At 48.7% G+C, this 27,975-nt stretch overlaps 1 protein-coding gene across 7 annotated transcripts, besides 3 other annotated features; it reads right to left on the reverse strand.

Annotated features, from left to right (window-relative positions):
• On the reverse strand, nucleotides 1,402-26,349 carry SFXN4 (sideroflexin 4). Of its 7 annotated transcripts, none has more exons than NM_213649.2 (14): nucleotides 26,172-26,349; nucleotides 24,766-24,831; nucleotides 22,975-23,049; nucleotides 21,690-21,716; nucleotides 21,550-21,604; nucleotides 20,363-20,388; nucleotides 18,644-18,697; nucleotides 18,506-18,562; nucleotides 18,303-18,368; nucleotides 17,313-17,391; nucleotides 15,697-15,812; nucleotides 8,410-8,495; nucleotides 6,871-6,988; nucleotides 1,402-1,954 (listed from the first exon to the last, which is right to left on the reverse strand). In NM_213649.2, exons 1-14 carry the CDS (start codon nucleotides 26,280-26,282, stop codon nucleotides 1,877-1,879), a joined length of 1,014 nt encoding a protein of 337 aa, NP_998814.1. In that variant the 5' UTR covers nucleotides 26,283-26,349; the 3' UTR covers nucleotides 1,402-1,876.
• Nucleotides 3,082-3,583: an enhancer, noted in NCBI's record as "H3K4me1 hESC enhancer chr10:120901959-120902460 (GRCh37/hg19 assembly coordinates)". NCBI's record gives its function as "activates a minimal SCP1, AML or CMV promoter by ChIP-STARR-seq in primed H9 embryonic stem cells {active_cell/tissue: H9 hESC(primed)}" and the evidence as "EXISTENCE:reporter gene assay evidence [ECO:0000049][PMID:30033119]".
• Nucleotides 25,800-25,986: a silencer, noted in NCBI's record as "fragment chr10:120924677-120924863 (GRCh37/hg19 assembly coordinates)". NCBI's record gives its function as "represses an EF-1alpha promoter that drives an FKBP-Casp9 reporter gene in an ReSE screen in K562 erythroleukemia cells {active_cell/tissue: K562}" and the evidence as "EXISTENCE:reporter gene assay evidence [ECO:0000049][PMID:32094911]".
• Nucleotides 26,028-26,497: a silencer, noted in NCBI's record as "silent region_2869". NCBI's record gives its function as "represses an Ori minimal core promoter by ATAC-STARR-seq in GM12878 lymphoblastoid cells {active_cell/tissue: GM12878}" and the evidence as "EXISTENCE:reporter gene assay evidence [ECO:0000049][PMID:35858748]".

Here is a 27,975-nt window from a genome sequence, read left to right on the forward strand (position 1 = left end):
AAAAAAAGCAAAACAAAAATTAGCTGGACGTGGTGGCTGGTACATGCCTGTAGTCCCAGCTACTCAGGAGGCTGAGGCACAAGAATCACTTGAACCCAGGAGGTGGAGGTTGCAGTGAGCCAAGATCGCGCCACTGCACTCTACACTCCAGCCTGGGTGACAGAGTGAGACTCCGTCTCAAAAGAAAAAAAAACAGTTGTTCAGCAGGTGTGGTTTAGAAGAGCAGGCTGGAACGTGGACCGGAGGGAGTAGGCAGGAGATGGGCCAGGCAGTGCCAGCAGGGGATGCTGTTGGACTGCGCTGGGTGGTAGCAGTGGGCATATGTGGGTTCCAGACTCCATGTACTGGGCCCTGTCTACTGCATAGGCTGGTAAGGTGGGGAGAGGGCGCCTCCAGTGATCCTGTCTGGTGCACCTGGGGAGGTGGTGGTGTCAATTCCTGAGACTGGGAGGGAGAGCTGATCTCAGGTTCGGATGGGTTGAGTTTGAGGTGTCTGGGACATCCAAATGGCAAAGTACAGCCAAGTAAGCAGCTCAGTGACCAGCCTGAGTGCCCAGCAGTGTGGCAGTGCCACATTCAGGTGGGTCACGGATGAGAGAAATCTTAGCAGAACGGGAGGTGGGGTGGAGACAGTGAGGGCGGACAACTCTTTTAAAGTGTCTGGCTACAGCCAGGCGTGGTGACAGGCGCCTGTAGTCCCAGCCACTCAGGAGGCTGAGGCAGGTGGGTCCTCATTGAGCCCAGGAGTTCAAGGCTGCAGTGAGCTGATTGTGCCAGTGCACTCCAACCTGGGTGACAGCAAGATCCTGTCTCTAATGAGGCAGGTGACAAGCAGTTTATTTCTTTTTGAGACACAGTCGTTCTATTGCCTAGGCTGGAGTGCAATGGCATGACGTCAGCTCACTGCAACCTCCGCCACCAGGGTTCAAGTGATTCTCCTGCCTCAGCCTCCTGAGTGGCTTGGACTACAGGTGCGCAACACCACGCCTGGCTGATTTTTATATTTTTAGTAGACACGGGGTTTTACCATGTTGGCCAGGCTGGTCTCGAACTCCTGACCTCAGGTGATCCACTGACCTCAGGCGATCCACTGACCTCAGGCGATCCACTGGCCTCAGCCTCCCAAAGTGCTGGGATTACAGGCGTGAGCCACCGCGCCTGGCCGACAAGTAGTTTACATACTTCTGGGAAGGACCTGGCAGACAGAGGCTACAGAGCACAGCCCTGAGGAAGCAGAGAGAGGCCCAGAGCCTGGAGGACGCTGGCATTACACGGAGGAAGGATGGGTGTGGGTGCGGGTGTGGGGGGCTCCACTGCTGACCTGTTTCCTGGCGGAGGAGGCAGGGTCCTTTGCCAGAGAGGAGAAAGGAGGCACTGGGCGGAGGGCGGCAAAGGTTTTAAGTAGCTGTCTAGAATGGAGGACACTGAGTAAGGAAACAAGATTGCTTTTGGGGTTGGAGGGCGTAAACAGCGCCCCAGGGGTACGTGTTCCGCTTGAGACGGCCTATCCATTTAACACCTGTGTCCTGGGCACGGTGGACTCTGTGTTCTTTCTTCAAATCCTCAACTTGAGACAGGTTTATTAGTTAATTAGTGATTTCACAGTATCCTTTCGCAGGCCGATCCCCACTCCAACCGTTCCCTCAGCAACCCCAGGGGTGTCAGACGGGGCACCCTCCCACTGTCTTCTCCAGCCAGCCTTAAAAACCCCAGAGACGCCAGCCTGGGAACGATCTCAGTATGGAATCTGAAGTCGCCTTGTCAGCACAGACACCTCTGGGGTCCCCAGAAGACCTGTGGCAAAGTTCTCTAAACCGAACCTGGAGAGGGGAAGGTTTTCAAGCAGGAACCACATAAATTCACCTAAAACTCACGCCTACACCCCTCTGTGATAAAAGATTTCTGTTTCTTCTGTTGGAGACTGAATTTTCTCTTCAAGACTACAGTACTGTATCTGAAAAATAGTTAAATTCATAATGTTTCTATTAATAGTTTTTCTTGCCTTAGAAGCCAAGTTAAAAAAATCATTTTCTGAAAGCAACCATTTCACAGTCCATCTTTTTCAATAATGTCTAATCTATAGCAGAAAATGTAACCTATTTTTTTTTTTAATCACCCAAGCAGTAAAGAAACTTCTTAAACTTTTTTTTTTTTTTTTTTTTTGAGACAGAGTCTTGCTCTGTTGCGCAGGCTGGAGTGCAGTGGCACCATCTCAGGTCACTGCAACCTCCACCCTCCAAGTTCAAGTCATTCTCATGCCTCAGCCACCCGAGTAGCTGGGATTGGGATTACAGGCGCGCACCACCATCCTTGGCCCATTATTGTTATTTACTTATCTCTACATTTGTTTATAATTGAAAGTTTCCATTAAAAAGTTTTAAGATGGCTGGGCACAATGGCTCATGCCTGTAATCCCAACACTTAGGGAGGCTGAGGCAGGTAGATCACTTGAGGCCAGGAGTTCAAGACTAGCCCGGCTAACATGGTACAAAAAATACAAAAATTAGCTGGGTGTGGTGGCACACACCTGTAATCCCAGCTACTCCAGTGGCTGAGGCACGAGAATCACTTGAACCTGGGAGGTGGAGGTTACAGTGAGCCGAGATCAGGAGGATTGCTTGAGGTGGGGAGTTTGCAATCAGCCTGGGCAATATAGTGGGACCCTATCTCTACAAAAAATAAAAAATTAGCCAGGTGTGGTAGTACGTTCCTGTAGTCCCAGCTACTTGGGGGGCTGAGGTCAGAGGATCACTTGAGCCTGGGAGTCAAGGCTGCAGTAAGCCATGATCATACCACTGCCCTCCAGCCTGGGCAACAGAGTGAGAAACCCTGTCTCAAACACACAAACAAACAAAAAACAAATGTAGAAGGAATGTAATGAACTCACATGTGCTCACTCAGGAATCACTATTAACAATTTGCAGATCTCATTTCATCAAGCACCTCCCACACCCAGCAGTAGGATTTTTTTCCTTGAGTATTTTAAGGCAATTCTCATGTCATGTCACCTACAAGTTCCAAATGATAAAGACCTTATCATTATTGATATAGTACTTGATATAGTAATGACAGTAGTTACAAAACTACTATGTCATTGTCACACCTAACAAAATTAGTAATAACTCCTTATCTCATCTAAGCACCTCCATGCCCTCCTTGAGCCAACAGGATATTTTGTGTCTTTTTTTTTTTTTTTTTTAAATGAGATGGAGTCTCACTCTGTCACCCAGGCTGGAGTGCAGTGGCGCGACCTCGGCTCACTGCAAGCTCCGCCTCTGGGGTTCACGCCATTCTCCTGCCTCAACCTCCCGAGTAGCTGGGACTACAGGCACCCGCCACCACGTCCAGCTAATGTTTTGAATTTTTTTTTTTTTTTTTTTTTTTGATATGGAGTCTTGCTCTGTCGCCCAGACTGGAGTGCAGTGGCGCGATCTCGGCTCACCGCAAGCTCTGCCTCCAGGGTTCACACCATTCTCCTGCCTCAGCCTCTCGAGTAGCTGGGATTACAGGCGCCTGCCACCATGCCTGGCTAATTTTTTTGTATTTTTAGTAGAGACGGGGTTTCACTGTGTTAGCCAGGATGGTCTCAATCTCCTGACCTCGTGATCCGCCCGCCTCGGCCTCCCAAAGTGCTGGGATTACAGGCATGAGCCACCACGCCCGGCCCCAACAGGATATTTCCAAAGTCCAGCAAGCAAGTCTTGGCATCTGAGGTCACGCGTGAGACTGACTCCCTTTCCTGCCTCCACTCTGGCCTCTGGGAGTTCTGCCCCTTCCAACCTTGCATGACTTACCTGCTGCCCTGCTCCTTGGCCTGGCTGTGCAGGCCCTGCCACCTGGCCCCCAGCATCCTGCCTGTTCCTTGCAGCCTCACGTGCCCATTCAGCCCTTCCCATCCTCCACTGGGGATGAACTCTTCCCTCTCCCTCCTGGGCTCAAGTGATCCTCTCACCACAGCCTTCTGAGTAGCTGGGACTGCAGGTGTGTGCCGCTTCACCCTACTAATTTTTTTTTTTTCGAGACAGGGTCTCACTCTGTGACCCCATTGTAGCCTTGACCTCCCATGCTCAGGTGATCTTCCTACCTCAGCTGCCTGAGTAGCTAGGACTACAGGCACATACCACCATGCCTGGCTAATTATTATTTTTTCTTTTTAAACAATTTTTTTCAGAAGAGAGATGAGGTTCAGACTGGTCTCGAACCCTGAGCTCAAGTGATCCTCCCACCTCGGCCTCCCAAAGTGCTGGGATTACAGGCATGACCCACTGTGCCCAGCCAAATTTTTATTTTTAGCAGAGACGAGGTCTTGCTATGTTGTCCTGGCTGGTCTTGAACGCCGGGGCTCAAGTGATCCTCCCACTTGGGCTTCCCAGAGTGCTGGGATTACAGGCATGAGCCACAGCACCCGACCTAATTTTTAGAACATTTTATGTAGAGACGAGGTCTCACTACATTCCCCAGGCTGGTCTGGAACTCCTGGCCTCAAGCAATCTTCCCACGTTGGTCTCCCAAAGTGTTGGAATTACAGACATGAGCCACCGTGCCTGGCCTGAAATTTTATTCTGAGATGCTGCCTCGCTCCCCAACCCCTCGCCCATAGCATAGTAATAGGCATAACTATCTAAAATAATCTGAAACTTCTACGTTGTGCTGGCAAAGTTGCTTGAATGAATGATCCTACAACCTAAACCTATAAAACGTGGGTTCTGAACAAGATCATTCCATAAATATAAATGCTTTTGAGGACATATATATTTATAGTGACAGAAATGAACATTTGAAATGTTTAGCCAAGAAACTGCTAGTATCAGCCGGGCGTGGTGGCTCACGCCTGTAATACCAGCACTTTGGGAGGCCGAGGCGGGCGGATCACGAGGTCAGGAGATCGAGACCATCCTGGCTAACATGGTGAAACCCCATTTCTACTAAAAAATACAAAAAATTAGCTGGGTGTGGTGGCGGGCGCCTGTAGTCCCAGCTACTCAGGAGGCTGAGGCAGGAGAATGGCATGAACCCGAGAGGTGGAGCTTGCAGTGAGCCGAGATTGCGCCACTGCACTCCAGCCTGGGTGACAGAACGAGACTCCGTCTCAAAAAAAAAAAATTGCTAATATCTGCTAGCATCAGTAATGTCTTTGACATCTGCTAGCAATTTATGGCAGAGCTTTGGAAATTAAAAAAATTGGCTTTCTGACTTAAAAAAAAAAAAATGTCCTTGCTACCTACTAAGCAACAACCCTTTGCAGAGATGCCATTATCTTCAGCTCTCTTTAACAGATAAGAAAACTAAGCAAGTTGACCAAGGTCATGGAGAAGCTGGAATCTGAGTCCAAGCAGCCTGACTCATCATAAATTATATTATAAATTATCTATAGAACTGGGCTGTCCAATAGCCACTAAGCACACAAGAGTACCTAATTTAAAATTTAACTTAATTTACAATTCAGTTCCCTAGTCACACCAGCCTCTCCTGAAGTGCTCAGTAGCACACGTAGCTCATGGCTACCATAATTGGACAGCACCAATCTATTATAGAACATTTCCATCACTGCAGAAAGTTCCACTGGAGAGGGCGTAGTTATAGAACATTTTGGAGTATTTAAAATTTCTCTAAGTAATTTTAAAAGATTTCTTTTTATGCCCCAGAAAAAAAGGCTTATGAAATATTGTTAAGAAAAACAGAACCCAAAACTGCACCAAGAGATTTGAGGGATAGAATTAAATATAAATATCATTACAATTAACCCTTGAATAATGCAGGTTTGAACAATGCAGGTCCACTTATATACTGTTTCCCCCTCAGTCACCCCTGAGACAGCAAGACCAATCCCTCTTCCTCCTCCGCAGCCTACTCAATATGAAGATGACGAGGATGAAGACTTTGATCCTCACTGAAACTGATGACTCACCTTCACTTAATAAACAGTAAATATATTTTTTCTTATGATTTTTTTTTTTTTTTTTTTTGAGACAGAGTCTCACTCTGTCACCCAGGCTGGAGTACAATGTCATGATCTTGGCTCATTGCAACCTCTACCTCCCCAGGTTCAAGCGATTCTCCTGCCTCAGCCTCCCGAGTAGCTGAGATTACAGCTACCGTGGCTAATTTTTGTATTTTTAGTAGAGCTGGAGTTTTGCCACGTTGGCCAAGCTGCTCTTGAATTCCTGATCTCAAGTTATCTGCCCGCCTCAGCGTCCCAAAGTGCTGAGATTACAGGCATGAGCCACCGCGCCTGGCCTGATTTTCTTAATAACGTTCTATTTTCTCTAGTTTATTGTAGGAATACAGTATACAACACATATAAAATATAAAATATGTGTTACTTGACTTTTTATGGTATTGGTAAGCCTTCCGGTCAACAGTAAGCTATTAATGGTTAAGTTTTCAGGGAGTCAAAGGTTATACTTGGATTTTTGACTACTAACCCCCAGGTTGTTCAAAAGCCAATTGTATTTTGTTTTATTATTTTATTTTTTTGAAATAGGGTCTCACTCTCAGCCAGGCTGGAGTGCAGTGGTGCAATCATGGCTCACTGCAGCCTCAATCTCCTGGGCCCAGGTGATCCTCCCACCTCAGTCTCCTGCGCAGCTGGGACAACAGGTGTGCATCATCACACCCAGCTAATTTGTGTATTATTTTTTGTAGAGATGGGGTCTCACTATGTTGCCTAGGCAGGTCTTGAACTCCTGGGCTCAAGCAATCTTCCCACCTTGGCCTCCCAAAGTGCTGGGATTACAGGTGTGAGCCACTGCACCTGGTCTTATTTTATATTTTTATAAACTTTGCAGAGTTTTAAGAAGAATAACTTATTTTATTCTTCTAACTGCAAAATAAAAAACTTTGAGAGAAAAGAGGAATGGGGGCACTTACCTGTCCAATCTGTGGAAATATACTAAAAGAAAATGGCACCATCAGTCCCATTGCCAGGACAGTACAAGACAGTTTCAAAATCCACAATGACCCTGGGTTTTTCCTGAAATACTGGGTCCTGTAAGAGACAAGGCATGGCTCACAAGTGATGTTAAACTATCAGGGCTTATTTTCTGAACAGCTGAATCAGGGCGTGTGTGTGTGTGTGTGTGTGTGTGTGTGTGTGCACGTGTGTGTGTACCTGAACACCTGGATCAGGGCCTGTTCTTTTTTCTTTTTGTTGTACCTGAACAGCTAGATCAAGGCCTGTTTTTTTGTTGTTTTTGTTTGTTTGTTTTGTGTTTTTTTCTTTTGAGAGAATCTTCCTCTGTCGCCCAGGCTGGAGTGTAATGGTGCCATCTTGGTTCACTGCAATCTCCGCCTCCTGGGTTCAAGCAATTCTCCTGCCTCAGCCTCCCGAGTAGCTGGGATTATAGGCGCCCGCCACCACGCCTTGCTAATTTTTGTATTTTCAGTAGAGACGGGGTTCACCATGTTGGCCAGGATGGTCTAGAACTCCTGACCTCAGGTGATCTGCCCACCTTGGCCTCCCAAAGTGCTGGGATTACAGGCGTGAGCCACCGCACCATCCCATCCCTCCTTCTTGGAAATGTGCTCCATGTGTGGTCCTAGCAGGCGATTCCCAGCCTCGCCACACTGGTGGGGGGGATGTGCACCCCAGGCATGCGACCTAACTCAGGCCCACAGAATCCTTCCCCAGGAGTCTGCCCTGAGGGGAAGACATTCCTGCCTCCCCTGGGGTTTGCTGTGTTCCACCTCTGATCAGGAGGCTGTGAGGCTATGAGCTGGGAGTTACTAGCAAGTGGGTCCCGCATCAATATGAAGAAGCCAATCTGGCAGGAGAGAAGGACTCGACACCCACGAGAATGACAGGGAGGCGCGCCCAGCAGGGGAGCTTCTGTTCAAGCTGCCATGGACTGCAATCCTTGCCCGTTCCGGCCCTAAAGCCCCAACGTCTCCCCTCGGGTCTGAGCTCCTGCAGGTTAGGTTTCTCATACTGGTGGCCACAGGAACCCTGATGGATGCCCAGGTCCTCCGCCTCGTAGGCCATTTCTGGCTTCTTAAAAGGGATGGATCTGAATTCGGAGTCGCTGAAGCTCATTTAAAACATACTTGGAATGGGGGTTTAGAGAGGAGGGCTTGAGCAATATTCACAGCACATGAGAGCCAGGGGAACCTGCAAATCATCCAAGCCCCTCATTCTAGAGGTGAGGAAATGGCCGTGGAAGGTCCTTCGACACGCCAAGGACACGGGGTAACTGGAGGCAGAGCCTGGGCTGGATTCCCCATTCGGTGGAATCCGTACACCCGGATTTCCACGCCTGCCACAATCAATCCGCCTGTCTTAGCTGTGATGTGTGTTTATGGGAAGGTTACTGAGCCAACTTCTCCCCACCCTCCACCAGGGTCAGTATCTGACAGGTTTTATAAGGATTTGACTTTCAAATCCCTACCTGGGGATATGACCGTGTCTCTTACCTTTTAAAAAAGTAGGTGAAGACTTCAGGAATCAGAGCTGAGGTCCCAAACAGCACTATTCTGGATGCTAGCGTTTCTCTAACAGCCTAGCAAAAATGAAAAGAAAACAGCTTAGGTTGGGCACGGTGGCTCACGCCTGTAATCCCTGCACTTTGGGAGGCCGAGGCGGGTAGATCGCTTGAGGTCAGTAGTTTGAGACCAGCCTGGCCAACATGGTGAAACCCTGTCTCTACCAAAAAATACAAAAATTAGCCCGGTGTGGTGTTATGCACCTGTAGTACCAGCTACTTAGGAGACTGAGAAATGAGAATCACTTGAACCTGAGAGGCGGATTTTGCAGTGAGCCAAGATCACGCCACTGCACTCCAGATTGGGCGACGGAGTGAAACTCTGTCTCAAAAAAGAAACTTAGTACAGGAGCAAGACGATTTCCAGGGATCCCACAACTCCTGCGAGAGACAGGCAACAGTAACCCACCCTTCTCACTTAGAAAAAGAATGCCCGTGGAGAGAGGCGGAGGGGACGCCTTCCACGTAACTTTCCATGTACAGGTGTGTGGCGGTCGGCTGCACTTTGTGCCAGAAATAGCTGGCACCGTCTGCCAAACCACCCCAAATAAACTATCCACTAAGTACAAGCAAAGGTGGCTTCTAGACAGATCTTCACTGAGAACCAAATGGTTCCTCAGTGGAAATGCTGGATTTGCCACAGAGGTTTGCTCCGTATTTCCCATCCAAGCCAAGTCTCTGCCACTGGCCTCCTGTCCTGACCTGGCTCAGCAGTGACTCTCATACCTGCCATTGGGGAAGCCTCCAAATGCCCAGCTCTGAGGGCACGGGCACAGCATGAGACCCACACAAGGCTGCCTGTCCGTACCCACGTTTCACAGCGAATTAAAAGTGTTATACTATAAAATTGTGTTATGTACAGGTTATAACATTTTTGTAATCTTTTCTATAATGTACATTACTCTATACATTAAACATTTAAACATACAATTTACTGTATGGGTGAGTATGTACAAAACCATGTACCCTCAAGGGCACTTTAAGGGACTTGTAAGGGAAATTTTGACTATAAGACAGCTCACGTTAACTTTTTTACTACTTTCATTTATTTATTTATTTTTAGAGACAGGGTCTCACTCTGTCATCCAGGCTGGAGTACAGTAGCGTGATCACGGCTCACTGCAGTGTTGACCTCCCAGGCTCAAGTGATCCTCCTACCTTAGCCTCCCGAGTAGCCAGGATCACAGGTACACCCTACCAGGCCCGGCTAACTTTTCGATTTTTTGTAGAGATGTGATCTCACTATGTTGCCCAAGCTGGTCCCGACTTCCTGGCCTCACGCAATCCTCCTACCCCAGCCTCCTGAGTAGCTAACATGTTAACTTTAGAACCCACCCCTGGGTAAGACACACACACCACAAACAGCACATCGTGTACCCAAGAGGAGCAGGCACACCTGCGCCCGTCCTTCCCTGAACTCTGTTCCTTCCACTTCCAGCTTCCCATGATTGGCTTTGACCTACCTTCCCAGGCTCCTCCTACCACCCGGCCCCTGCTCTCTGCTTGCACCTCTGCCCTGCTGTGGGTGACAGTCACGCTTGCATGGTTCCCTCTGCAGGGAATGCCTTTCCCCCCCACAAAAGAGAGGAAGCCGAGGAGGGCTGTTTTTAAAATAAGGTCTTAAGGGCCGGGCACGGTGGCTCATGCTTATAATCCCAACACTTTGGGAGGCCAAGGTGGGCAGATCACCTGAGGTCAGGAGTTCAAGACCAGCCTGGCCAACATAGTGAAACCCTGTCTCTACTAAAAATACAAAAATTAGCCGGGCGTGGTGGTGGGCGCCTGTAATCCCAGCTACTCGGGAGACTGAGGCAGGAGAATCACTTGAACCTGGGAGGCAGAGGTTGCAGTGAGCCAAGATCACACCATTGCACTCCAGCCTAGGCAACAGAGCGAGACTCAGTCTCTAAAATAAAAGAAAATAAAATAAAAGTCTCAGGGATATAAAGTAAAATTGCTTGACTTCCGGAAGGGAAAAATGGCTGTTAGTGTGCTGTGTGTCCACATCAGTGGGGCGAGGCCCGCCTCTCTCCCTTAGTCCCATGTGTGGGGAGGACACTCCAAGTGAGACGCCGTCATTAGGAGGCGCTGTGTGCAAAGCAGTGGCTTATGGGGCCAGTCGGGGGAAACAACAGCCACGCGTCACCTGAAATTGGACCAACCGTGCCCTGTTACCATCAGATATTGCTGGTTACGCAGTTTCTGAAATTTTAGCCGAAGAAAATAACCTTCCAGGGACAGGGAAGTGATAGAAGAATGCTTATGCACAGTTGCAGACACTTTATTCTTCAGAGAAAAAAAAGACCTTTTTTTTTTTAAAGTAGACCAGTAAAGCTTTTCTTTGACCCTAACATGCCCCTCATGCCAAAAATGAAGTTTCTTCTGGTGAGATGGACTCCAGACAGCCAGTCAGGCCTGAGGCTACCTTTCCGCTGGAGGCTGGGGCTGCTGGGGAGACGGGGCTCTCACTGATCAGGGTGTGGGTCTCCAGAGCCTAGCACCAAGCCTGGCAGGCAGGAGGTGCTGGGAACAACTTGCTCATTGGATATTTGCTCTAAGCTGGGTGCAGTGCCTCACACCTCCCAGCGCTCTGGGAGGCCAAGGCAGGAGGATCACTTGATGCCAGGAGTTTGAGACCAGCCTGGGCAACATAGCGAGACCCCATCTCTACAAACTTTTTTTTTTTAACATTAGCCATGTATGGCGGTGCACACTACTCAGAAGGCTGAGGCAGGAGGGTCGCTTGAGCCCAGGAAGTTGAGGCTGCAGTGAGCCATGTTCGTACCATTGCCCTCCAGCTTTGGCAACAGAGGGAGACTCTGTCTCTATAAATAAATGAATAAATAAATAAACGAACTTAAAAAAATGTGCTCTCACTCTCCTCTCCAGCTTTATGAATAGGTCAGAGCAATACTAACACCTTAAGTTCACATGGAGTTGTGGAGAAATACAAACACACATATGCATAAAGATGTGCAAGTGAATGTCGGAGCAGCCTGATTCATAATAACCCAAGCCTGGACACAACCCAAACGTCCACCGCCGGCAGAATAGATAAGCAAAATGCGGCACATCCAGGAACGGAATACTACTCAGCAATGAAAAGTAACAAATGAGCAACATGTGGTACAAGACGGATGAATCTCAAACGTGAAAGAAGCAAGACACAAAAAACTACAGTGTGATTCACTTATGTATAATTTCTGGAAAAGGCAAAAACTAAGAAGACAGAAAAGCAAGTCAGTGGCCAGGCATGGGGGCTCACGCCTGTAATCCCAGCACTTTGGGAGGCCGAGGCGGGTGGGTCATGAGGTCAGGAGATCGAGACCATCCTGGCTAACATGGTGAAACCCCGTCTCTACTAAAAATACAAAAAATTAGTTGGGCGCAGTGGCGCATACCTATAGTCCCAGCTACTTGGGAGGCTGAGGCAGGAGAATCGCTTGAACCTGGGAGGCAGAGGTTGCAGTGAGCCAAGATCGCACCATTGCACTCCAGCCTGGGCGACAGAGTGAGACTCTGACTCAAAACAAACAAACAAAAAAAAAGAAGCAGATCAGTGCCTCCCTAGGGCTGGGGGTGGGGGTGGGGGTGGGCATTTGGGACATTTTTAGGATGATGAAAATGTTCTACAACTGGACTGTGGTGATGGTCACACAACTGTTTCATTTATTTATTATTATTATTTTTTGAGACAGAGTCTTTCTCTGTCACCCAGGCTGGAGTGCAGTGGCGCAATCTCAGCTCACTGCAACCTCTGCCTCCTGGGTTCAAGTGATTCTCCTGCCTCAACCTCCTGAGTAGCTGGGACTACAGGCATGAGCCACCATGCCCGGCTAATTTTGGTATTTTTAGTAGAGACAGGGTTTCACCATGTTGGCCAGGCTGGTCTCAAACTCCTGACCTCAGGTGATCTACCTGCCTCAGACCCCTCAGAGTGCTGGGATTACAGGCGTGAGCCACCGCGCCTGGCCTATGTTTTATTTTTTGAGACAAGGGTCTCTTTCTGTCACCTAGGCTGGAGTACAGTGGTGTGATAATAGCTCGCTGCAGCCTCAACCTCCTAGGCTCAGTTGATCCTCTCACCTCAGCCTCCTAAGCAGCTGGGACTACAGATGCACCCCGCCATGCCTAGCTAATTTTTTAAAAATTTTTTTGTAGAGATAGGGTTTTGCTATGCTGCCCAGGCTGGTCTCGCACTCATGGACTCAAGCGATCTACCTCCCAAAGTGTTGGGATTACAGGCATGAGTGAGCCACCATGCCTGGCTGCACAACTGTTTTAAACTGACTAAAATTCATCAAACTATCCTCTTACAAATGGGTAAATTTTACAGTATGTAAATTATACCTCAATAAAGCTGTTTGAAAAAATGTCTCTTTCGGGCGTTTTTTTTTTTCCCCAGGGGAAAGCGCAAATGCAGTCCCAGGTGGTTTTTGTTTGTTTGTTATTTTTGAGATGGGGTCTTGTTCTGTCGCCCAGGCTGGAGTGCAATGGCACGACTTCGGCTCACTGCAACCTCCACCTCTCAGGTTCAGGCAATTCTCCTGCCTCAGCCTCCCGAGTAGCTGGGATTACAGGCACCCGCCACCATGCCCAGCTAATTTTTGCCTTTTTAGTAGACACAGGGTTTCACCATGTTGGCCAGGCTGGTCTCGAACTCCTGACCGACTGCAAGTGATCCAACTTACGGGTGGTTTGTTAGGCCCAGAACCTTCATTTCAAACTAGTGACCTATTTTCTTACTGGCAGCAATTTCTCTGTTACTTATAATTATTTTATCTCTGTCATAATTCATTTAGGTAAGGAGCTATGCTACTAGATGGTCTAGTGGAAATACCATTAGCATGTATCTGATAGTTTATAATTCAGCTTTGTCAGTCAGTGATAGGATTTAAAGTAATATGTTTGGTGAGCTGAATAATGACGTATTTACCGATGGAATGAACAACCATCTTTTCTGAGCTTCCCTGCCACCAACATGCTGGTCAGTAGAAGGACATACCCTGGCTGGCTAAGGGAGTCCTCTGGATCCCACACTGCCAGAAGCCCGGTTAGTCCCTTCACTTCATATCAGGGCTGTTCCACTCTGCTTGATATGTCATTTGCAAACAACTAAAGTCTTCAGCTAAAGTCATTTCACAGGGACCAAAAAAGATCTCACCTGCTAAAAACATATTATTTTAAAAGTCCACACCCAAAATGAAAAGACCATAGACTATACCAGGTTCTCACGGCTGAATGCACTCAGTAGTCACTGTGTTGAACTGAACAAAAGAATACTTTGGCCAGGCCCAGTGGCTCACCCCTGCAATCCCAGCACTTTGGGAGGCCAAGGTGGGCAGATCACTTGAGCTCAGGAGTTTGAGACACGACTGGGCAACATGGCGAAACCCCATGTCTATAAAAAGCACAAGCATGAGCCAGGCATGGTGGTGCATATTTAGAATCCCAGCTACTTGGAAGGCTGAGGTGAGAGAATCACCTGAGCCTGGGAGGTTGAGGCTGTAGAGCCGTGATCACACCATTGCACTCCAGCGACAGAAGGAGACCCTGTCTCAAAAAAAAAAAAAAGAAAGAAAAGAAAAAGAAAGAAGAAGAAAAAGAAGAAACTAATAGTAAAAATTATTCAGAATTGAGGCCTTGAAAAGGAGTTTTGGATCAGAGAATTCAATGTTCTAAGTCCATTCTTGACAAAAGTAGTCCTTAGCAATGAAGACTATAAGGACATCTGCTGAATGGGAGAAGCAGGGGCTCTTTTAACCCCAGAAAGGGGTGTCCACTGACCTCTGTAAGTGCAGAGCAGGCTGGGAGGGGAGTGGCCCCCAATCAGCACACACTGGGAGGGCAGATATTGGATTTGAAGAATAGGATCTCACTCTCAGAGGTACCCAGCACTTGTCAGATGCCTGTCTGTGGCAGTCAGCCTCACGGGTCACCATGGCAACAGTACCCAGTTATTTAATCCAGCACTCATCTAGCTGTTGCTGTAGGGGTACTCTGCAGACACAGGGCACGTCTGCAATCAGCTCACTTTAAGAAAAGCAGGTTACCACCAGGCGCGGTGGCTCACACCTGTAATCCCCGTACGTTGGGAGGCCGAGGCGGGCGGAACACCTGAGGTCAGGAGTTTGAGACCAGCCTGGCCAATACGGTGAAACCCCACCTCTACTAAAAATACAAAAATTGGCTGGGCGTGGTGGTACGCACCTGTAATCCCAGCTACTCAGGAGGCTGAGGGAGGAGAATCGCTTGAACCCAGGAAGCGGAGGTTGCAGTGAGCTGAGATCACGCCATTGCACTCCAGCCTGGGTGACAGGGCAAGACTCCGTCTCAAAAAAAAAAAAAAAGAAAAGAAGGTTACCCTCCACAATGTGGGTGGGCCTCATCCAATCAGTTAGAGGCCTTATAGGCAAAAACTGAGGTTTCCCAAAGAAGAAATTCTGTCTCAAGGCTGTAGCAGCAGCTCCTGTCCAAGTTTCCAGCCTCCAGGCCTGCCCTGCAGATTCCCACAATTGTGTAAGCCAATTCCTTAGAACAAATCTCCTAATAGACATGTACTGCCCAGGTGCGGTGGTGCACACCTGTAATCCCAGCACTTTGGGAGGCCACGGTGGGAGGATCACTTGAACTCAGGAGTGAATGGGAGGGACAATGGAGACAGAGGTGCATGCTTTTCTTTTGAGAGATTTCAAAAAGGAATTGGGGGCCAGGCATGGTGGCTCATGCCTGTAATCCTAGCACTTTGGGAGACCGAGGTGGGTGGATCACTTGAGGCCAGGAGTTCGAGACCAGCCTGGCCAACATGGTGAAACCCCGTCTCTATTAAAAATACAAAAATAAGCCAGGTGCAGTGGTGTGTGCCTGTGGTCCCAGCTACTTGAGAGGCTGAGGTGGGAGGACCGCTTGTGTTAGGGAGGCAGAGGTTGCAGTGAGCCAAGACTGCACCATTGCACTCCAGGCCAGTGCGACAGAGCAAGACCCTGTCTCAGAAAGAAAGATTATGTACATATATCCCATTGGTTCTGTTTCTCCAGAGAACCCAGACTAATGCCCCATCTTATCAGGGGGCAAAATGAGAAATTTCTCTCTCAGCATGCTAAGGAAAGACGGGTAAAGAAAGGTTGAAGGCAGACATGAATTTGTCACCGGCTTTCAAACAGAAAAGTCTAGTCGTTGCCCAAAAGGCAAGCAGCTATAGCTTCATCCTGTCTCTTACCTTTGTCCCAGCAATTCTGGAATGACCCAGGACATTGCCTTCCTTGTCCATGACCGCAATCCCCTTAATGGATTCAAGACTTCGGGACATGTAGACATTCATTCCACTGGCTTGCACTGTAGATGTAAAGAAGTAAAGAACACCCAAGACGGGGGTGAGTCTTGTTCCAGCAAAGGAACATCTCTTTGGGTGTCTGCCCCCTGCAAGCCTCTTTCTCTGACAGCTGGCCTTTCTTGACCCTCAGGTGGACACCTGCCATAGGCTGGGCCAACCAAGTGCTCTCCTGGGGCTGTGGAAGTAGGCTAAGAACTGCTGGCCACTCAGTCTTGGATCCTGACCACAGCCTGGGACCAGCTTCCAGCACCCCTGCTTCCTTACCGGATTCTAGGAGAAACCCTGGGATCTTGGAAACATATTCCTCCCTCGTCTTTGCTTAAGTTTTTTTTTTCAGACAGAGTTTCACTCTTGTTGCCCAGGCTGGAGTGCAATGGTGTGATCTCAGCTCACTGCAACCTCCGCCTCCCGGGTTCAAGCAATTCTCCTGCCTCAGCCTCCAGAGTAGCTGGCATTACAGGCATGCCCCACCACGCCCGGCTAATTTTTGTATTTTTAGTAGAGACGGGGTTTCATCATGTTGGTCAGGCTGGTCTCAAACTCCTGATCTCAAGTGATCCACCCGCAATGGCCTCCCAAAGTGCTGGGATTCCAGGTGTGAGCCGCCATGCCCGGCCAAAGTTGTAAGGTTTCTATAACACCATTTCCTCAATTTCACCACTGACATCAGTCTGCCAACTCTTCAAACTGCTATGATTCCCAAACCCAAATTTGGAGCGTGACATAGTAAACTTGCAGGCTGGCAGAGTCAAAATATTCAGCTAATATCTCTGTCACCCCACTGGGTTGGAATCTCTATACTAACCATTTGCTTGCTGTGTAACTCTAGGCAAGTTACTTAACCTCCCTGTGCCTCAGTCTCCTCCTCTGTAAATAGGAATAATATTTCCTACCCATAAGTTGTTGTCGGGATTAAGTAAAATAATGTAAGTAGAACGTTTACACAGATAATCTTTAAAATGTAGGGCCAGGCGCGGTGGCTCATGCCTGTAATCCCAGCATTTTGGAAAGCTGAGGCAGGCGAATCACTTGAGGCCAGAAGTTCAAGACCAGCTTGGCCAACATGGTGAAAGCCTGTCTCTACTAAAAATACAAAAAAACAATTAGCTGGACATGGTGGCGCACACCTGTAATCCCAGCTACTTGGGAGACTGAGGCAGGAGAACTGCCTAAATCCAGCAGGCGGAGGGTTGCAGTGAGCCGAGCTCATGCCACTGCACTCCAGCCTGGGTGACAGAGCAAGACTCCGTCTCAAGAAAAAAAATGTAATTTGTGTTTCCAGTCTTGTGTTCATTCTTTAGCCATTAATGTGGGTATCTACAGAAAGTGTCACCTCTCAAACCAAAGACCTGATTTGGGCTTGGGGGCCTGCCGGGCTGCAAAGGCCACCTGTCATCAGTCACAATGTGCCAAGGGAGCCAGGTGCCTCTGGAGATGAAGGAAGGCTCACAGACCACAAAGACACCCCACCCAGACTGCAGCCTCCAGCCCTTCCTGCTCACCGAGGAAGATCACAGGTAAGAGTCTTTTAATCCAAGGGCCAGTCAGGCCATACTTCATCTGGACAAACTGAGGGATTACCTAGAAAAGAAGAGAGAAAAATCATTATTTCATGGGACTGAAAAATCAGCGGAACCTACTCACTAGCAGAGAGGTCGCCCTGACCTAGTTCCTATTACAAGTCAGACCACTGCCAGTGCTCTTCAGGTATTTTTCAAATTCCTGCAACGTGGAGGTCCTCTCCCTGTTCATCTAAGGAGTCAACAGGGGCTTAGAGAGAGGTATGGAAGCTGTTGAGAGTCACAGAGCCATTAAAGGTTTGAGCCAGGATGAGGGCCCAGGCTTGTCTGATGCCAACATCTCCCCATCTTTCACCATTACAGTGTCTTGACATCCAAAGCAATACACAAATTATATAACATATTTATAACACACAATTCATATAACAATTTTTAAAAAGATAACAGTACCAGCCAGGCGTGGTGGCTCATGGCTGTAATCCCAGCACTTTGGGAGGTCAAGGCGGGCAGTTCACCTGAGGTCAGGAGTTTGAGATCAACCTGGCCAACATGGTGAAATCCCTTCTCTACTAAAAAATACAAAAAATTAGCTGGGTGTGGTGGCACGTGCCTGTAGTCCCGGCTACTCGGAAGGCTGAGGCAGGAGAATCACTTGAACCCAGGAGGCAGAGGTTGCAGTGAGCTGAGATCATGCTACTGCACTCCAACCTGGGCAACAGAGCAAGACTGTGTCTCAAAAAAAAAAAAAAAAGAAAATAGAAAAAAATAAAAAGACAACAGTACCATGTATATGCTTAGAAACTTAAACTATTAACATGATTATTTTGGGATAATACAATTACAGGTGACTTTTATTTCCTAGTCATATTTTCTAAATTGTTTAAATTGGAACATAAATTTGTAATTGGAATAAATAAAACTTCCTGGATTCTGAGGAATAAAGAAGATTTGACAGATTCTAAAAATACCTACTCCTAAGAAAGTTGAAGAAGCAACGGCTCCCGCCATTAGTAATGATCTTTCTAGTGGCTTACAAGTCTAAGGAGAAACAAAAGTACTTAATTAGCAAATATCACAGTTTTATCCAGCAAAGATAATTTAAAAACAAACACATACAACAAACTCCAAAAGGAATAACACAAAACCCCACACTCTCTGGGTCTCATAATACTCACGTAACTTCTGTTTCCATTGATGCTGTTGAACGCTGCCATGTAGGCACAGAGGAAAACCTGCCGAGAGGGGCAAATGGATCGCATTTTCGTTTCAAGCATAACAGAATTTAGTAATCGTGAAACAGGAAGAATGGCTACCTGAGGTAAAATCACGGACTTGATCCCTTTCAGTGGCGTCATTGACAAAAATACCTTTTAAGAAGACAGTGGAACAGAGTTACAAGTGTTGCTGTGGAAGGAGAACTTGCAGTAGCAAAGAACTTTCCAGGGGAGAGGGAGAATTGAGCCCCCAAGGAGCTGGGGCAGGAGAGGATGGTGGTGGGTACAGGGGCTGCCGGTCCGTAGACAAGGTTGAGTGAGCACCTGCCAAACACCAAACTAGCAGCTCTAAGGACATCCAGGGTCGAACAGCAGGCCGTGTCTCCAGGGCCTTAGTCCAGCAGGGTAGCTAAGATGTACACATTTGTTAGCTGGGTGCAGTGGCTCACTCCTATAATCCCAGCACTTTGGGAGGCTGAGGTGGGAGGATCACTTGAGGCCAGGAGTTGACCAGCCTGGCCAACATGGTGAAACCCCGTCTCTACGAAAAACAGAAATTAGCCGGGTGTGGTGGTGCACACCTGTAATCCCAGCTACTCGGGAGGCTGAGGCAGAAGAATCGCTTGAATCTGGAAGGCAGAGGTTGCAATGAGCCAAGATCATGCCATTGCACTCCAGCCTGGGAGACAGAGCAAGACTCCGTCTCAAAAAAAAAAAAAAAAAAAAAAAAAGAAGTACACATTTGCTAGGGAAAGCAGACAGGAGCCTGTGGTGTGGACAAGTACCTCCTAGGCTGGGAGTGATGGCTCACGCCTATAATCCCAGCACTCTGGTAGGCCAAACTGGGAGGATCCCTTGAGGCCAGGAGTTCGACACCAGCCTGAGCAATGTAGCAAGACTCAGACTCTGGTAAAAATAAAAAAATTAGCCTGCCATGGTGGCAAGTACTTGTATTCCCACCTACTCAGGAGGCTGAAGTAAGGGGATCCACTGAGCCTAGGAGTTTGAAGTTACAGTGAGCTATGATTGTGCCACTGCACTCCAGCCTGGGCAACAGAGCAAGACCCTATTTTAAAAAACAAAAAACGGTCCAGGCATGGTGGCTCACGCCTGTAATCCCAGCACTTTCGGAGGCCAAGGTGGGTGGATCACCTGAGGTCAGGAATTCGAGACCAGCCTAGCCAACATGGCAAAACCCCATCTCTACTAAAAATAAAAACATTAGCTGGGTATGGTGGTGAGCGCCTGTAATCCCAGCTACTCAGGAGGCTGAGACAGGAGAATTGCTTGAACGAGGGAGGCAGAGGTTGCAGCGAGCTGAGATTGCGCCAGTGCACTCCAGCCTGGGCAACAGAGCCAGACTCTGTCTCGAAAAACAAAAAAAACCCAAAAAACCAAAAAGCACCTCCCAAGGGCCAAGGTGAGAAAAGCCTCACAGGGACAATGCCAGGTCCCAGGTGAGGGGCTGTGTCAGAGGAGGACTTGGTGGCCAGGGGTTTGTGCAGGGAGCTCATCCTAACTCACTGGCCGCTTCTACCGTGCTCTGCGCATACTTGGTGTTCAGAAAAGGGATGACCTTGCCAAGCTGTGGGCCTTCCAGAGGCCCGGATGCCTGACTGGGAGGGTGTGGGGAGGGGGAGGGAGTGGGGACAAGGACGTATGAACAGCAGCCATGGGTTATCAGTGGGGATCCACAACCATCTATCAGGCAGTCATGTGACAGGGGTCCGGAGCTGGAGGGACACAGCTGAGGTTAGGAGGAGAGTGGCCATCTTCCCAAGCCCCTAGTCTCCTAACGGCAAATGTCTGCTTGCTCACCGTGGGTGCCATGAAAGGCAGGAACGCTGGCAGGAAGAGAAGAGAGGAGGTGTCAGTGATCACAGTTGCCCAGGCAGAGGGGGCCAGAAGGGGACTACCCACCTGAACACCTCTTCCCCAGCTTCCAGAAGGCACAGACCTCAAAGGACTTTTTCCACTCATTCTTTGTTTTTCTAATAAAGTGGGGGGTCAAGGTCTCAGCACTTTGGTAGGCTGAGGCTGGAGGATGGGTTGAGGCCAGGAGTTCGAGACCAGCCTCTATTTTGTAGAGGTAGCGAGACCCCCACCTCCATAAAAAATTTAAAGCCAGGTGTGGCGGCATGACCCTGTAGTCCCAGCTACTCAGGAGGCTGAGGTAGAAGGATCAGCTGAGCCTGGGAGTTGGAGGCTGCTTTGAGCTATTATGGTGCTACTGTACTCCAGCCTGGGTAACAGAGCGAGACCCTGTCTCTAAAAATGACAATAATAATAAAGTATGTACATAAAATTACTATAACATGGCCAGGCACAGTGGCTCACGCCTGTAATTCCAGCACTTTGGGAGGCCAAGTGGGCGGATCAGAAGGTCAGGAGTTCGAGACCAGCCTGGCCAACATAGTGAAACCCTGTCTCTACTAAAAATACACAAAGGAAAAAAATTAGCTGGGCATGGTGGCAGGCACCTGTAATCCCAGCTACTCAGGAGGCTGAGGCAGGAGAAATCACTTGAACCTGGGAGGCGGAGGTTGTAGTGAGCCGAGATTGTGCCACTGAACTCCAGCCTAGGTGACAGAGCAAGACACTGTTTCAAAAAAAAAAAAAAAGAAAGAAATCCTGCTGGGGGAGAAATAATTAAAGCAAGGCAGGCAGAGTTTTCTTTTCTTTTTTTTTTTTTTTTTGGACACGGAGTTTCACTCTTGTTGCCCAGGCTGGAGCGCAATGGCATGATCTCAGCTCACTGCAACCTCCGGCTCCCGGGTTCAAGTTCAAGCAATTCTCCTGCCTCAGCCTCCTGAGTAACTGGGACTACAGGCACGTGCCACCACAATGCCCAACTAATTTTTTACATTTTTAGTAGAGACGGGGTTTCACCATGTTGGCCAGGCTGGTCTCGAACTCCTGACCCCAGGTGATCCGGCAGGCAGAGTTTTCTAAGTGTTAGAAACTACATCTTCCCAACCCACTTCTGAAAATTAGAACCAACTCACCTGCAGGTCGAAAAAGCTTGGGGATCAGGTTGCTGCTGTCGGGATGCACTGTTGCCTTCAAAAGGAGAGATGCAAGGTTAGCTGGATGTCTGGTTTTGTTATTATAGGACACTAAAAATTAGGAAGGGGCTGAAACTTACAAGACTCCGCTTCCAAGCTTCTTGTATCTTAAAGGAGAAAAAAGAATAGCTTTGTTTCATTTTAAATTTTTTTTAAGAGACAAGGTCTTGCTCTGTCACCCAGGGCTGGGGTATAGTGGCACAATCATCACTCACTGCAGAACAGCCTCGAACTACTGGGTTCAAACGATCCTCCCACCTCACCCTCCTGAATAGCTGAAACTACAGGCTCACGCCACCATTCCCAACTAGTTGTTTAATTTTTAGTAGAGATGGGGTCTTGCTATACGGCCCAGGCTGGTCTTGCAGTCTTGGCATCAAGTCATCCTCCCAAACCATTGGAATTACAGGGTTAAGCCATCACACCCAGCCTTAAAAAAACAACAACAACAACAAAAAAAAACAAAAAAAAAAAAAAAGCTTTTAAAGGTGGCTCAACAGCAAAGAATTTCTTTGCCTGTCTCATTTCTGGGACCACATTTGTTCTACCTTTCAGAGAGTGAAGGCCAGAGCTGTTATTTACCACATTGACAGAACAAATCAAAATAAATGGATCATATGAATAAACAAATGAACTAATGACAAGCAAAGAGACGAGCCACACAGAGAAATGGACCAGAACATTAAAAAGTCCTGTCTCTACCCTTGGAGAATACCAACACCTAACTTATCCCTCAGATGAGTCCCCGAATCCGGCTTGCCTCTGGCTCAGAGCAGAGCAGGCTGTGTGCTGATGACACACCATGCCATCAGTCAAGTTACTTGCAACAGAGCCAAGCTGTCAGCCCAGGGTCCCCAGCACATTCTTAGAAAAAGTTAAATATGTGAGCTCTCCATAGGCTGTCTTGAGGAGCTGGTGTTTGTGAGCTCCAGAAAGCCCCACATACTGCAAGGTAGATAAGGAACAGTCCGTTTGAGCCTATCGGCAGGAACGCTGCCTGCAGTGGAGAATGAATTCTGACGTCAGAGCCCTGTCTGAATTCTGGGGTTTGCCACTGGGCTCCAGGAATCAGCTGCAGGGAATCCCCACAAATATCCACTGTGTAGGAGGAAACTTGCTGTCTGGTTTATGGGACAGAATTCTAACTACATTTAAAAAACTAACCCAGTTTTGCAAAGCTGGTCCTCTGGGCAGTATATAACAATGACAGCATTAATAGCCAATAGAACAGTGGCTCCCAAGGGAAGGAAAAAAGAAAGAAAAGAGACGGAGACAGAGATTAATGGCCAAATTCCACCTGACTTCAGACCATGCAGGCAGAACCATCTGAGGGCAACCAGCCAGACCTGAGCACGTGAAACATACCCTTTGGTCCGCCGAGGCAGGGCTGGAAACATCTTCATTTGTGCACAATAGTTGCCTCGAGTTTTCTATACTTTCCTAAAATCAGATATCAAGTAATCAAGTAATGATCTCAACATTGTTCAGGTTTATCCCCAGAGGTAGGAATCACCAGCTCACTCACCAGCATGCACTGGACTTCGACTGCATGCCTGATTTCAAGCCACATGGTGCCCTAGGCTCTCTATCCATTAGGATAGCCCTGAGTGCCATTCAGATTTATGCCTTCCTCTTCCTAGATGCTCCAGCAGCTGCCCCCAATGGTGCTGTCACCTCCCCCACTCTCTGATGTCAACTGTCGCACTGAATGGTTACCACCATCCCCTGGCTATACATGTCAGAAACCTAGAAGTCCTTCTCCCTCACCCACTTCCATGTCTTATCAGTTCAGTCTTATTTCCTCTCTTTTTCTTTCTTTCTTTTCTTATTGTTTTTTAAGAGACAGGGTCTCACTCTGTTGCCCAGGCTGGAGTGCAGTGGTGTGATCATAGCTCACTGCAGCCTTAAACTTCTGGGCTTAAGTGATCCTCTTGCCTCAGCCTCCCAAATAGTTGCGACTACAGGCACAACCCACTACACCTGGCTAACTTTCTATTTTTATTTGTACAGATAGGGTCTCGCTACATTGCCCAGGCTGGTCTCAAATTCTTATTCTCGAGAGATCCTCCCATCTCAGATTCTCAAAGTGCTGGGATTATAGACATGAGCCACCACAGCCAGCCTCCATTTCTTAATTTGAGAAAAAATAAATACAAAAATTACAAAGAATGGCTACACACTATAATCCCCTCACCCAGAATTAACAACTGTAAACATCTGGTTATATTTGCTTCTAATTTTATTACATTTTCTTTCTTCTTTTTTTTTTTTTAAAGATGGAGTTTCACTCTTGTCACCCAGGATGTGACCAGTTTAGCCAGTCTGTCCTCCATCACGTGGAAGATTTGTTTGATTCTCTCTGAATCCCCAGCACCTGGCCTGGGCCTGATATTACCTGTTAAACAGATGTACGCTTTTCTTTTCTTTTTTTGCTGGGGGAAGGGGATGGAGTTTCGCTCGTCACGCAGGCTGGAGTGCAGTGGCAAGATCTCGGCTCACTGCAACCTCCACCTCCTGGGTTCAGAAAGTGATTCGCCCACCTCAAGCCTTCCGAATAGCTGGGATTACAGGTGTCTGCCACCACACCCAGCTAATGTTTGTATTTTTAGTAGAGACGTCGGTTTCACCATGTTGGTCAGGCTGGTCTCGAATTCCTGACCTCAGGTGATCCACCCACCTCGGCCTCCCAAAGTGCTGGGATTAAAGGCATGAGCCACGGCACACGGTCAGATGTACGCTTTTCCTTACCCCTTCCAATCTGACAAGCTCATTTAGAAGGAATAAACACAATAATATATGTAGATTCTGTTATTTCAACTGCTTTTAAAAGGGACACGTGGGCAGGGCCTGAGGTCGGGAGTTCAAGACCAGCCTGACCAACATGGAGAAACCCCCGTCTCTACTAAAAATACAAAATTAGCCGGGCATGGTGGCGCATGCCTGCAATCCCAGCTACTCGGAAGGCTGAGGCAGGAGAATCGCTTGAACCTGGGAGGTAGAGGTTCTTGTGAGCCGAGATGGTGCCACTGCACTCCATCCTGGGCAAGAAGAACGAAACTCCGTCTCAAAAAAAAAAAAAAAAAAAAAAAAGGGACACACAGACTTCAAGTTTCAAAATAAAATGTGAAATTCATTAGCTCTGAAAACAATACTTACAACTGAAATGAACACATTTGTAGGATCTAATAATTCTGTCCATTGAAGAAATCGTCGAATAAAGGACTTAGGAGGGAGAAAAGCAACAGAGAGGTTAATGGCAGCAGAAAAATAAAGATATAAATACTAACAGTTGGCTTTTTTTTTTTTTTTCTGAGAACCTGCCAGGGTCTGTGATCTGCCTTTTACTGGCATCATCTCCTGGGATCCTCCCAACCTCTCCAGGTTCTCCAGGTGAGGAAGCTGAGGCTTAGAGGGACTCCTGAATGTACTCAAGGCAACACAGCCAGGAAATGATTCAGAAGTCTGTGCCCTTAACCTCTCAGTATCAAATTGCCCTTGAGGGTTAAAATCCCAGACTTTGGGGGTTCAAATGGTCTTACGTTCATATCTCACATACGACCTCGAAGCAATGGCCTAGAATATCTCAAGAGTCTGTGGCCTCACTCTCTGCTTGCTATAAGGCTTCACTCCAGTGACAAAGGATGGACGCCCCATTAAGGGCTCAATGGTGCAGCTGGGGTCACACTGGGGAAAAAGAGGTTTGCTCCAGCAAACTCTAAACTTTGTAGTGGTTCTGGCTTTAAGCCTTGGCTCTGCTGGAGCAACCTGAGCTCACCGCCCCTTCTCAATTTCCCCACCTAAAAAAAAAACAGGGCTGGACCCCACTTTAGGAGAGGCCTCAAAGAGAACCCCCTAAAGCCCTGCTCTCCAATTCGCCACATGCGGCTGAACCCAGATGTGCTGTGAAGGTAACAGACGCCGGATTTGGAACACTCTGTACCAAAAAAGCGAGTAAAATATCTCAGCAATGTTTTTTACTGATTACATGTTGAAATGTTAATATTTTGCACCTGCTAGGCTAAATGTACTGTATTGTTAAAAATTTCAGCTGTTTTTATCTTGTTTAATGTGGCTACTAGAAAATGTTTAATTACCTGTAAGGCTCACATCATATTTCTATTGGACGGTGCTGCCCTAGACGCTGCAGGGAGATAAGTCCTGCTTATGTCCTGCCCAAGGGTGGCTTCCCAAAGCCTCGGGGGTCTCACCGAAAGTGGCTGAGCTTACCAAGGTGCGAGAGCCTGTTTCTCCCCAATCTGCTGCTCAGCCACAGCTCAGGCAGTAGGGAGCAGCCACCTGCGCGGACTGGGCCCCTCCGAGAGGGCAATCTGGAGGGTGACGTTGTGGTCGTGGGCATCTGGCAGCTTCGATTTCCCCTGCGTCCCCTGCCGCGCCCTAAGGGGTGAAGGCCGGTGGTGCGCGTTCCCGGCACAACTCCGAGAGGAGGAAACGGAGACAGGGGGCGCCCACGTGGCCTGGCCAAGGTCACCCGGGTCAGCCCGACTCCACGCGGCCCGGCCCGCCCCCTCCCTGCCCCTAGTCGCGCCGGGCCCGGGCCGTACTTGGCGCTCGGTGATCCAGAAGCGCACGTTGGGCTCAATGAAGGCGGGGACGGCGTCTCTGCGTCCTAGGAGCCGCCCAGGTTGCGTTTCCTCCTCCTGTTCCAGGGACATTTTGCGCTGGTTAGAGTGGCCGCCGCCGCCAGGCCGCGCGTGGAGGAGGAGCCGGGCGGCGAGCCCCGCCCCGGGCCGCGCGCACCCGCAGTTCCCGCCCCAGGCCCGCGCGCCCGACGTCCCGTGTCACAGCGCCTCGGGGCCCTTGCGCGCCCACTGTTCCGGCGAGCGCAGCTCTCCCACGGGCCACGTCCTCCCAACCCTGCTTGCCCTGCTCCGCACCTTTGGGGAGCCGGGCCGTCTCCAGGCCCCAAGGGGTCACTATCGGAACCCGTCATCACAGTACCTAATGCGAAGACCCGGAAAGGTTGTGAGTGAGGCCGTCCGCAACCTCACCCTGCGCTTCTGCCGCGCCCTACCCCTGGTCATTACCCTCGAAAATCCCTCCGATGGCCCACGAATTCCAGTGTGCATGGTGTTGCGCAGTCAGGCCGGCTGCATCATGGTCTCAGCCCAGGGAAAATGTCAAATGCGGTGCCCCTTATTCATGTTACTGAGAATTTCAAGAGAGTAACACCAGAGCATCAAACCAAGTATAGGGCCCTGGGCACAGTGCACTATCCCTCAGCCCAACAGGTTGTTTTTTTTTTTCTTCCAGTGTTGGGGCAAATCCAGTTCCTTTTGTTGACTACCAAATAGGTACCATTTGTAAAGAAAAACCTGCCTTCCCTTCCTCCTCCCACCTGCCCTTCCCCAGCACAGGGCCAGGCGGGGGCTGTGTGCACTTAAATTCACGGAAGCCACAAGTGTGCCTAGGTCGTTCAGGGGGCCTCCGGAGTCCAGGACTGGGGGACCCAGCACATCATCTAGTTGTGTGACCCTCGCCAAGTCAGTATCTCGAAGTCTATTTTCCCATCCGCAAAATGAGGATAACAATTGTACCTATCTCAGGGTTTTGTTTCTGATCAAAGGAGATAAAACATCCCTAACACAGCACTGAGCCCTCAGAAGTGCTCAGTATTGGCCATTAACCTCCAGCGGGCCAATTCCTTCCCTTGCCCTGCGCCTCCAGGAACAGGAAATTGGCTCATGGCGTCCTTCAGGCCTGTATGACTCTGCTTCTGTATTTGCTCAGTTTGCCTAGCTCACTTTTCTTAACCTCCAGGGGTTTATCTCCTCTTCCAGGAAGCCTTCCCTGACCCTCCGAGTTGAGTAAGGTGCCCCCTCCACTTCTACCCTTATGCCGCAGAAATCCATCTAAGCACCAGTGCAGTATGTAGCGTGCTGTTCTATTCTGTTGTCTCTACCCTCCAGGATGTCACAAAGCCAGCCCGCTGGCCTGCTTCCCCACTTTGGACTGCTATGTCGTCTTAACAAAGGAGCCAGAGTGATTCTCTTAGAACAAGTTGATGTCACTCTTCTTTTCAAATCCTTCCTGACATTCCCCACCCCAGAACAGAACCTAAAGTCCTTGGCCTGGCCAAAAGGCACTCTGGGACCCCCACCACAGCCATAGTCACCGGCCTCCTAGTAAATCTGCATCCGCTCTGAGCCCACTCTTGCCTCACGGCCTTTGTGTTTTCCCTGCCCTCTGCCTAGAAGTCTCTTATCCCCGTAATACTCTCACTTTCTACGCGTTTTCTCTCCCTCGATGCTCATCAAAACCCTGAGATAAGTACAATTATTGTCCTCATTTTACAATGAGAAAATTGATCCAGAGAGGCTCTCCCTTAAGGCCTTCCTTGACAACCCC

Source organism: Homo sapiens, chromosome 10 (genome assembly GCF_000001405.40).
Source record: "Homo sapiens chromosome 10, GRCh38.p14 Primary Assembly".
Lineage (NCBI taxonomy): Eukaryota > Metazoa > Chordata > Mammalia > Primates > Hominidae > Homo > Homo sapiens.